We start from the raw sequence: 11,865 nt of genomic DNA, 5'->3' as shown, positions 1-11,865 counted from the left end.
TTTTCTCAGTATTCCCCAGTCTGAATTTTCCCTCTAGGTTTATGTATTCTTATCCACTTGAATTTTCCAGCTACTAATAAAGTCTCATTCTTATAATCATTGACTTCAATTTATGTATCCTCATCTTAACATTTGAAAATCATACTTTGATTTATACTGCAATTAAATTTCTTTTATGCTCTTTCTCTCTTTTTGATAAAGATGTTATATGTTTTCTCCCAGAGTTCTATTTTACTAGGGATCTGTAATAGTAGTTATCCTGCATGAGAACTCCTGTACTAAGTCTTGTAGTAGTAAGAGTTTGGTTTGACTGCAAATGACTGGTTCTTTCTCACCACCATATGAGTAAAAACAGCTACTCAGGCAAGATAGATGTTTATTTTCACATAACCATGGACAATTCAGAACTGTTGGTATGTGGACTCCACAATTTTCAGGAACCAAATCCTTCTATTTTGTTGCTTTGCCATCTTTGACATTTGAATTCCATGTTGTGGGTGGGGTCAACTGTCAACATCAGCAATCAGGCCAGCAGGAATGAGGTAAGAACTGGAGCAGGACACAGCATTTCTCTTTAAGGACATTTCCTTGAAGTTGCATTTATCAATTCTCTTTCCATTTCATGGAACTTAGTCAAGTGACCACACTGACATGGAAGGCAGTCTGAGTAATGTAGTCCACATTTGAGTGGCCATGTGCCCAGGTAAAAAATCTTCATAGACTACGGGGAAAATAGATACTAGGAGACTCCTTGCAGTCTCTGCCACTGGCTGTTGGGTACCTCATTTTCCTCTCGCTTCTTATTATCCTATTCAATCTTCAATCAAGAGTCAAGATCAAGTAGTTGGGTCTCTTATGTGACACAGACCCATGAGTGATAGGGGGCCAGTGATCTACATCCCTATGGGGCAAGGACTGTAGTCAACTGTCCCTTAAGACATACGTCTTCTTGGAAATGGTAAAAAGAATGCAAGTGTAGCTTTGGCATTCATGGATACAATAATAAAATATTGAAATACAAAGTTTGGAAGCAGTGGACTTGAATCAAATGGAAGCAGAACAAATAACAGCTTTGATAATAATAATCTTCACATGACACTTTAACTTTTCAAAAGTGTTTCCACATTCTGAATATTATTGTACTTGACAGTGAAAATAATCATGATTTGTTGAAACTTATATTAGTTCCCTATTGTTGCTGTAAGAGATGATCACACATTTAGTGGCTCAAAACAACACACATTGATTATCTTACAGTTCTGGAGGTCAGAGTGTCAGAAATAGGCCTTACAGGGCTACCATTAGGGTGTTGGCAGTGTTGATTCCTTCTGAAAGTTCCAGGGGAGAATTCATTCCTCGCCTCTTCCAGCTTCTAGAAGCTGTCAGCATTCCTTGGCTCGTGGCCTCACCCTCCTCTGCTACTCATGCTGATCTCCTGCCTCCCCCTTCTAAGGATCCTCATGATCACACCAGGCCCGCCTGGCTAGCCCAAGATAATCTCCCATCTACAGATTCATGTCTTTTTCACACCCGTGAAGTCCCTTTTGCCATACAAGGTAACATTCACAGGTTCCAGAGATTGGGGCATGTGTTTTTACATCATGAGTGTTGTGGACTGAATGTGTGTGCCTCCTCCAAGTGCATGTATCACAATCCTAACCCTCAATGTGATGACTTTTGGAGGTGAGGCTATTCATGGGGGCTCCACCTATGTCACGAGGGTGGAGGACCTGTGAATGGATTAGTGCCATTATAAAAGAGACCCCAGAGAGTGCTTCGGCTTCTTTCAGCCACAGAGAAAAGCTGGATGTCCATGAGCCAGGAAGCGGGTTCTCATCAGACACTGAGCCTTTCAGTGCCTTGACCTTGAACTCCCCCACCTCCAGAAGTGTGAGAAATAAATATTTACTGTTGAAGCCACTCAGTCTATAGTGTTTTGTTATAGCAGCCCAAATAGGCTGAGACAATAGGTTTTATTATTATTCAGGTATGGTGAGGAAATGGGTCAGGAGATGACTGCCATTACGTACAGCGTGTGTTACTCACAATTCAAGAGCAGAGGTCACACCATGCCATGCAGGGCCACGTGGGGAAGCACCAGGATCGGTCAGGAGGCAGAGGGAATGAGAAGAAAATGTGGGCAAGAGACTTCATTATGGGTTGTGAGGGGGAAATGTAGGACAGGCAGGCAGGTGTAGTATTGCCCATTTTAAATAATTTCACTGGGCTCTAGGGCATCGTGGCTATTTCTAGTTGTTTAATATCTGTCCCTGGGGTGATTAGGGCAGGGGGATAGTGGCTCTGCAAGTGAAAGCTAGATAAAGGGGGTCAGTGGGGGCATGGGCTTTGGATTGGTGGCTTGCATACAAAAGGCACACTTGTAGGTGAGTCCCTTACTACTGCTAGGAACTGACCAGTCCTGGGAGGGGGAGTCTCTCCAGGATCAGCAAGACCCCAGAAGCCAAAACATCAGAAAACACAGAAACTAAAAAGACATGATTAGAATAACATGGACATCTTGTAATATAAGTATGACATTCAGTATAAGTGTTATATTCAGTTTACAGATGAGAAATTTGAGACTCAGATATTAAATAACAACTGTCACACAATCTCTAAGAGGTAGAAACAGAATTCAAAGCCAAATCTGCCCAAATAAAGCTCATTCTCCTGAAACAAATGTCGATATCCCCATTTTACAGATCACAACCCTTTATCAATGAAAACAACTCTGTACAGGTAAGGGAGGCATCCTTCATGAATTCTTCCTCCCGTTTCCACAATTCTTGCAATTAATCAAACAATCTGAGCCAGTCTTCACTTCATGAGAACAGCTGTCTCCAAAATGCTGAGGACATAAACAACTATAGAATAAACTGAGTTTATGGCAGAAAATCTCCTACGATGTGGAAGAAAGGAGACCTTCGTCATCTTTCTCTGTCGTGGACGTCTTCTCAGTGTGTTGAGGTGTGCTCTGTGACTTCCGTGGAAAGGGCATGGCTGTGTCCTTCTATGCATTTTGCAGTCATTCCCATCTGCAAATACCATTCCTTCCATAAATAACAATCACTCATTAACTCCAGGGACTATTGACTTCCCTTTCTTCAATAAACACTTCTGTGGGCTTGCTGTCTGCTTCCTCCTTGCAGCCACGGTAACCATTGTTGGGTAATGCATGGTTGCCAGGCTCCTGAACGGGAGTGAGATTTTTTTTAAACCTGATGTCACATCCAGGACAAACAAGAGAAGTCCTTTTAACCAAATAGGACTCCTATATAACAAGAGTCTTTGAGAAGAGAGTCGTATGACCTAAGATGTCCCCTCCAACTACTTTGGTAAGGGTCCTCCACCCACAGAGATCTTCCTCTATTCTGAGATGGAGAAATAATGATTAGAGACTTTACGCATAAAATGCCTGCTGTGCCAGCATCCATAGGTGGACCAAAATTCAGTTAATCCTCACAACTGCCTTAAACATAGGTACTAATATAATTGCCATTTTAGAGATGAGAAGAGCTAAAATTTGGAACATTGAGCCCTATGTCTAGCGATGAGAGTGAAGCTGGGATTTGGACCCGTGTGAATGATTCTAGGTTGGAGTGTGTGCTGTAAAACACTCTCGCTGGTTCACCTGAAGTTTAGGGCACACATCATTTTCATTATGTGTATTTTACTACCCACTGGCTTTCTTGTTCTAGAGGTGAAAGGATAGGCTCTCTTCTTCTCAATGAGTGAGCTTATACCCGGAAAATACAGACTTTCAGGAAACTGGCAAAACAAAGGCAATCTTTCTCTAACGAGGAGAAAGGGAGAACTCTTGACCAAAAGAGAAAGTGAAGGGCAGCTATGACCAACTGCAAGACCCCTCCCCTCCCCTCCACACACACACTCTCACACACTCTCACACACTCACACTCACACACACACTCACACACACACACAAAAACACTGAGAAAGTGAAGGGCAGCTATGACTAACTGCAAGATCCCTCCCCTCCACACACACACACACACACTCACACACACACACACTCACACATACACACTCACACATACACACATACACACACACATTCACACACACATACACACACACACACACTGTGAGAAAGTAAAGGGCAGCTATGACCAAATGCAAGATCCCCTCCCCTCCACACACACATACACACTCACACATACACACACACACTCACACACACACATACACACACTGTGAGAAAGTAAAGGGCAGCTATGACCAACTGCAAGACCCCCGCCCCTCCACACACACTCGCACATACTCTCTCACACACACACACACTCACACATACATACACACACTCACACATACACACACACTCACACATACTCACGCACACACATACACACACATACACACACTCACACATATGTACACACACTCACACATACACACACACATACACACACACAGACATACACACACACACTCACACATACACACACACAGACTGGGAGGTGCACTGCCCTGATTCCAGCTGGTGGACGGCAGGGGCAGTGCTGGGCCACTCTGGAGTCTCTGAGCCTTTCCATTTCCTATAAGCGGGGATGGTCCTGCTATGGAGGCTGGCTGGACATTCTGGCCTGTGATGGCATCATTCACCAATCATTTAACAACAAACAGCTAGAGTCTAATCACACTCAGACCAATCATTTAACAACAAACAACTAGAGTCTAATCACACTCAGACATTCAAAATCTACCACTTGATTGCAATGCTGCATCGGCCAGCTTTACAAGCGAGGTGTCAATATGGAGAGTGTGTTAGTCCATTCTTGCACTGCTATAAAGAAAGAAATGCCTGAGACTGAGGAATGTATTTTAAGACAGGTTTAATTGGCTCATGGTTCTGCAGGCTGTACAGGAAGCATAGCAGCTTCTGCTTCTGGGGGAGGCCTTAGGAAACACACAATCATGGTGGACAGCAAAGCGGGAGCAGGTGTCTTCCATGGCAGGAGCAGGACCAAGAGAGCAGAGAGGTGCCACAGACTTTTAAATAACCAGATCATGTGAGAACTCACTATCAGGACGATAGCTCCAAGGGGGATGGTAGTAAAGCATGAGAAACTGCCCCCATGAAAAGCATGAGAAACTGCCCCCATGATCCAATCATCTCCCACCAGGCCCCATCTCCTACGTTGGGAATTACAATTCAAATGAATCTGGGTGGAGACACAGATCCAAACCATATCAGAGACCAAAGAAGGACAATCTTCCCATGAAGTTATATTTGCTTAAGGGGCTCCCAAACTGCATTTTCCTGGGGGCCTCTTCTGTGGCAGCATGTCACTACACTGTGAGGCATTATTCCTTGACTATCTGCACCTTATTGACACTCAGATGTAGGCTGACATTCTTAACCTGTGTGAGAGTTTTTAGATTGGTAAGAACAAAAATAAAGGTGAACAACCACACACAGAATTAGTAGAAATAAAAAATAAGCTGTTAATCAAAAGAAAAGAAATGAACTGTCAAAAACGATATGAAAGTAGCCAGTCTTATTCTCAATGAAAGAAATGTAAAATCAATAAGATACTATATTTATTTATCTGCCCTACAAAAAACAAAAGTAAAACCCTTCTGTAGACAGTATAAGAAAACATTTATATATGCTGTAGTGAGAGTATAAATTGGCTTAATTATTATAGAAAGACACCTTGGAAAAAATACCACCTTAAAAGCAATAGATTAGATAGATGAGATAGGTAGGGCTAGGTAGGCGTGCGTGCACACACACACACACACACACACACAGTAAAAAACATACAGTAGTTCTCCCTTCTTCGCCGCTTTGCTTTTCAGTTACCTGAAACCATGCTGTCCAAAATATTATAACTGTGTTCAACTATGGTCCAAAAATATTACATACAGTAAGATATTTTGACAGAGAGAGAGAGAAAAACCCTACTCACACAACTTTTATCAGAGTATATTGCTACAATTGTTCTATTTTATTAGTTATTGTTGTTAATCTTCTACTGCGCCTAATTTATACGTTAAACTTGATCATAAGTATGTATGCAATAGGAAAAGACAGTTTCCAGAAGGTTCTGAAATGCGTGGTTTCAGCATCCACTGGGGAGCTTGGAATGTACCTACAGCAGGTGAGGGGAGACTACTGTGTATATATTGCATGTCCTTTGACCCAGCAACCCAACTTTCAGGCATGTAATCTGAGGTGATTAAGAATGTATGACCCGGCTGGGCCCAGTGGCTCATGCCTGTAATCCCAGCACTTTGGGAGGCCGAGGCTGGCAGATCACCTGAGGTCAGGAGTTTGAGATCAGTCTGGCTAACATGGCAAAACCCCGTCTCTAGTAAAAATACAAAAATTATCCGGGTGTGGTGGTGCACACCTGTAATCCCAGCTACTCAGGAGGCTGAGGCAAGAGAATCGCTTGAACCTGGAAGGTGGAGGTTGCAGTGAGCTCAGATCGTGCCACTGTACTCCAGTCTGGGCGACAGCGCGAGACTCTGTCTCAAAAAAAAAAAAAAAAGGAAAAAAGGATGTATGACCAATATACTTGAAAAGATGCTTAACCTCACTAGAAATCAAGGAAATGCAAATAAAACACAAGGTTCCATTTTTAATCAAAGTGGCAAAAATCAAAAGTTTGATCATATAAAGCGTGGGCGAGGTTGTGGTGGCACACGTGCCCTCAGCTGCTCTGCAGTGAGAGCGTTATTTTCCAGCTACTTTGGTGGGCAAAATGTTTCTCCTCTACGACCTAACAATTCCACGTTCTGAATCTCCCCAGAGAGACATCTATCTGCACATGTGCACAAGGTGAAGATTGAATGCAGCATTGTCTGTCTTAGCAAAAGCTAAACACAACCCAAATATCCAGGGATAGGAAAATAACTCAATAAACGTCGGCTTATCCTTATTATGGAATCCCACACAGCAGTTGCAGATCTTCATGTGTTGACGTGGAAATGTCTCCAAGGCATACTGCCAAGTGAATGGACAGCATGTTAACGTCTGTGCGCCACTCGGCCTCACAAATAAAAACGATTCAGCATATCTATCTGTCTATATCTCACTTAGGTATCTGAAAATATACGTACGTACATTTCAAAAAAGGGTACGCATTAACCAATAATAGTGGCTGTCTCTATGATGGCTATAACAACTCGATTGAAGCTGGTTAATGAGGACTTTAGTCTTACCGGTTTTAAGGAAGTTTTCAACAAGAACATGTTTGTTTACAATATGCGTAATTTTAAAGTGTTTTAAAAAATAACTGTGAAGATTTCACTACACTAATACTTACCAAGGCATTATTCGGTAGAGTGAAAATTTGGAAATAGCATAATTGTCCAACTACAAGGTATTTAGTTAAATATATTAGGGGAGATCTCATGATACATTACAACACAACCATCAAAATAATATTTAGAAGTCCAGTAAACAACCAAGAGGAAATGTTCAGAATAATGATCAAAAGAAAAAAGCAGATTACGAAACAGAGTGCACCTCATTAAACACCTGTCAACCCCAGGGTCCAGGGCAGAGAAGTCAGATTCCAAAATCAGAGCATGCTGGCCCAAAGGCTAAAGGTTCGGTAATGCCAAAGTCAGCAATGCTGGTGCAGACACAACAGAAAACTGAGGGCCAAAGAAATTGAGAAGAAAGCCAGGCCAGACGGCTGGATCAAGGATGGAGGCAAAGTGCTAAGGGTGCTGCCTTAGACAAATCCTGTCTGCACCTCTCCTCCTTCCACACCCTTCTGGAGTAGGCCCAGCTGTGCCCAGGGTCTGAACCCAGGCACTGATTGTCCCGAGTCTGGAGGAGGTCTGGGCCTCGCCCTCTAACTGCTTCAGCAGGGACTGGGTCAGGCCAAGGACAATGGCCTCCACCTGCTGGGAGATCTTTCCAGACCAGAGAGCGGAACCTGCAGAATGCAGAGGCCTTCTGGTTTGCTGGACAGTGGTGTACATTCCAGGCTCAACTCTTCATTCCTCTAGGGAGTGAAAAAACCCGCTCCACCTCCTGAGAGCAAGGCTAGGTTGTGAATACCCTTTCCTTTGACGTATTGAGAAACGGGTCCACATTCATTCAGTCACGAGAAATGTCACTCAAAATGGGAGTTTCCTCCTTGAGAATCAAGAATGAATGTTAGAAAATTAAGTGGCAGAATTAGTCAAAGAGCAACCCCTTAGTGGAATAGATTTGACATTACAGAAAAGGAACAGAGAGAAAGGAGAGAGAACAGAAAAAGGGGGTGGGTGGATAAACGGTGGGGAGAGAAAGAGAGCTTGATTTCTGCGTTTATAAATGACAATGCGGTTTTGTCTAACCACCTGCTGCAGCAGGGCTGGGACACAAGGGAACCTGTGCCCTCCCATGCGGTGGAGGGTAGAAGATCAGAAAGACGAGAGGCCGGGGAGAGGCCGAGATTTGTACATCCAGCTGAAAAATAATCAGGCTCCTAAGCACAAGGCAGTTATGGTTTTAAAAAATTAAAATAAGCAACGAAACCAACCACCCAACACATTCAAATCCCTGCATGAGTTTGAGGATCGAGAAGTGGAAGAATTGAACAGGGAGAAACAACGAAGACGCGCTTCTGCTGCAGGAGGCAAATGCCAAGTGTCAGAAATGATTCCTGAAGCTGGGAGCCTCTGAGTTCAACTCATTATTTCCATTTGTTCATTTGTTTTTTCTACTGTGTTTCAATACCTTTTCCTCCTCTGGCTTTTCTACCTGCATGAAGTACTTACTGGTGGTGAAGGGGAGACACAACTCCCAGCCCGTTGTTTGTTTTACAAGTGGACTCTTGCATGGAGAGGAAGCTCAGGAATGGGGTGGCTGGGCAGGAGGGCTGCTGTGTTCCAGGTTCCAGCAGACTTGCAGACCTGCCCAGGGCAAGAGGAAGAACTGGTGAAACCTGCACGCCTGCTTTGAAGATCTCAAGAACAATTTGCTTTGCTCCTGTGGCTAAGCCTGCAAACATATTAAAAGCTTTTCTGGGTGATTTGTCAGTGGATTTAGTTAAAGAATTTATAGCCTGACCCTGGGAATCGGTCTGTGCTTCAGAGCAACACTGACACCACGTGTTTGAATCTTTAGGACTAAAAGGAAAGTAAGATCACGAATGGAGGAGCAAGGAGAGATCCCAAACATAGCAGCTCTCATTATGAGGGTGCACTCATTTCACCCACTGAGGCTCTGAAAGGGTCAGCGCTGATGAGCTGGTCTGGCCTCTGCCTGCTCTACCCAAAAGTGAATGTGGGTGTCTGTAATTCTTGGAGTTCTTTGAGGTAGAAAAGATTATTCAGGGACTATTTTGATTTTAAAAATTAATATTCAACTTATTGAAGCTAGTTCTTAAGTTTTTAAAGTTCAGCTTCTAAATCTTATCACTTTATTTATTAGGAAAGTGCATGCTCAACATGCACTTAGTTTAGTATTTGGGAAAGTCTGCCAATCAGAAACGAAAATATTCAAAAAGAAACCTGAGTATAAAAAATGGAAAAAGTATACTTACAATATTTATGGGGGCTAATTAAATATGCTATGGGATCCCCTCAAATATTGACATTTCCTTTACAAATTTATTATATTCAGATTTTTTCAAGGGTATCTGACTGAGAAGCTTCCCCAAATACTTAGATAACTTTAAAAAATCATATAAAATAAACGTAAAAATAAAGCAGCGTATTAAGTTGCTGAAATGACCACATATTGTTTTCAAATTTTAAAAACTTATCCTTTCAATTTAATATCATAAATGTAAATAACTAAAAAACATGTAACATTAGAATCATAAGACTCATAAGACTCCCAGAGCACTTTGGGAGGCTGAGGTGGGCGGATCACCTGAGGTCAGAAGTTCAGGATCAGCCTGGCCAACATGGTGAAACCCCGTCTCTACTAAACATACAAAAATTAGCCAGGCGTGGTGGCGTGTGCCTGTAATCCCAGCTACTTGGGAGCCTGAGACAGGAGAACTGCTTAAACCTGGGAGGCGGAGGTTGCAATGAGCCGAGATCGCACCGCTGCCCTCCAGTCTGGGCAACAGAGCAAGGATCCGTCTCATAAACAAACAAACAAACAATTAAACAAAAGCAGTGCACTCCATTAGGCAATAAGTGGTCTATCCAACATTGAGAGGAGGTGCTGCCCTCCCTCTGCCTTAATTCTAAGTTTTGACTAATTTTCCTAAAATTGTTATCAAAAACATTGGTGATGCAGCATTTTTAAAATAATGCATTGAGAAACCAAAACTTCTGGTTCCGGCTCTTAAACTGGCAGAACAATGATGGAAAATCAGCCAACTTTTGTCTCCCCCTTCAGAAATGTTGCTGAGCACATCTGGTTCATCCTTTCCCTGGCCTCCTCCTCACAGCCGTTTGGTTCCTACGGCCTAAAAGTGTGTTGTGTAATTACTGCTAGGACTTTCTATCTAGTCACCGTAAGTTTTGCTGCTGGCACTTTTACTTGGATTTTTAATTTGGATTTGCATTTCTTTTACTTGCTTGTGTACCAGTGCCAATTAAATTATAATACAATGGTTTCTTATTACTTAGAATTTTTATTTTAACTTTGCTTAAAGTCTCTTTTGGACTTAATTAGATTCTTAATTATATAATCATTTTTATAATCATGTTAGCATTTCTGGGCAGTCAAGCTGTTTCATGACAGTTAGTTGACAAATATTGATTGTAGGGGGCTGCTGATTTTAAGATGTCCTCAATTTCATAGACGGCAAATTGTGGGTTGGTGGGGAACATGTCTCAGATTTGATGAAACATGGGACATCACAGAATATCTGAAAGACTAAATTGAGAGTCTAGCATACAGAACACTCATAGCGTCTATTTTTTGGTTCTTCATAAATGTTAATTCCCCTTTCCTTCTCCCAATACTCAACTTTAGGTGACTTGACTAACGTACATCTTCCTCCTGCAAAAAGCAATGCAGAGTATTGGGGAATAGTCAACAATTGTAAAGGTTCCCCAACTGCCAGTTTCTACAGACCCTGGTTCTTCCCTTATTCTTACCTGTGTGGGTGTCTATCTGACACGGCTGGAGGAGGGTCTGAGGTCTACCTGCTGCCATGAAGTCATGAACATGTGAATCAGAATGCTATTAGGTTTAGGTATAATATTGCTTCTACTGACGCCCTAACCTACAGAGTAACGCTTGACACAATCTCATTTTTTGGGGGATGTATTTCTTTTTAAAGAAATGTGTATAAATGTATGGTGTACAAGTGCCATTTTGTTACATGCATAGATTGCCTAGTGGCCAAGACAGGGCTTTAGGGTACCCATCACCCAAATAATGTACATTGCATCCATTAGGCAATTTCTTGTTATCTACCCTTCTCATGCCCCCTCACACTTCTGAGGACCTATTGCCTATCATTCCACTCTCTACATACATGTGGACACAATTTTTAGCACCCACTTATGAATGAAAACATGAGTTGTTTGACTTTCTGTCTGGCTTGCTTCACTTAAGATAATGACCACCAGTTTCACCCATGTTGCTGCAAAAGACATGAAGTCATTCTTTTGATGGCCAGATAGTATTCTATTGTGTAAATAACACATTTTCTTTATCCAGGGGATTTTCTTCTTCCATTGATGGACATTTAGGTTGGTTCTATAGCTTTACTATTGTGACTAGTGCTACAATAAATGTATGAGTGAAGGTATCTTTTTGATAAATTGATTGTTTTCCTTTTGCATAGATACCCAATAGTGGAGTTGCTGGGTCAAATGGTAGCTCTATTTTTAGTCTGAAAAATCTCCATACTGTTTTCCATGGAGGTTGCACTAATTTATATTCCCACCAACAGCGAATGAGTTCTTTTTTCTCTATATCCTTGCCAACAT

At 42.2% G+C, this 11,865-nt stretch overlaps 2 long non-coding RNA genes across 9 annotated transcripts in view, besides 2 other annotated features; one reads left to right on the top strand and one right to left on the bottom strand.

The window, feature by feature from the left end:
* Positions 1-359: 359 nt before the first annotated feature.
* LOC124900825 (uncharacterized) lies at positions 360-9,139 on the bottom strand. Its single transcript, XR_007058413.1, has 2 exons — positions 8,743-9,139; positions 360-3,190 (listed from the first exon to the last, which is right to left on the bottom strand). It is a non-coding gene; the product is annotated as an uncharacterized LOC124900825 (long non-coding RNA).
* LOC105377582 (uncharacterized) overlaps positions 3,272-11,865 on the top strand; it is a 30,984-nt gene continuing 22,390 nt past the window's right edge. For all 8 annotated transcript variants that reach the window (XR_939551.3, XR_939552.3, XR_939548.3 and 5 more), the window contains exon 1: positions 3,272-3,335. This is a non-coding gene — a long non-coding RNA (uncharacterized LOC105377582). The remainder of the gene's footprint in view (positions 3,336-11,865) is intronic.
* Positions 7,922-8,061: an enhancer, noted in NCBI's record as "active region_22204". NCBI's record gives its function as "activates an Ori minimal core promoter by ATAC-STARR-seq in GM12878 lymphoblastoid cells {active_cell/tissue: GM12878}" and the evidence as "EXISTENCE:reporter gene assay evidence [ECO:0000049][PMID:35858748]".
* Positions 8,422-8,561: an enhancer, noted in NCBI's record as "active region_22203". NCBI's record gives its function as "activates an Ori minimal core promoter by ATAC-STARR-seq in GM12878 lymphoblastoid cells {active_cell/tissue: GM12878}" and the evidence as "EXISTENCE:reporter gene assay evidence [ECO:0000049][PMID:35858748]".

The sequence above is a fragment of the Homo sapiens genome, chromosome 4, assembly GCF_000001405.40.
Source record: "Homo sapiens chromosome 4, GRCh38.p14 Primary Assembly".
Lineage (NCBI taxonomy): Eukaryota > Metazoa > Chordata > Mammalia > Primates > Hominidae > Homo > Homo sapiens.
This window is presented reverse-complemented; position numbering and strand designations above follow the sequence as displayed.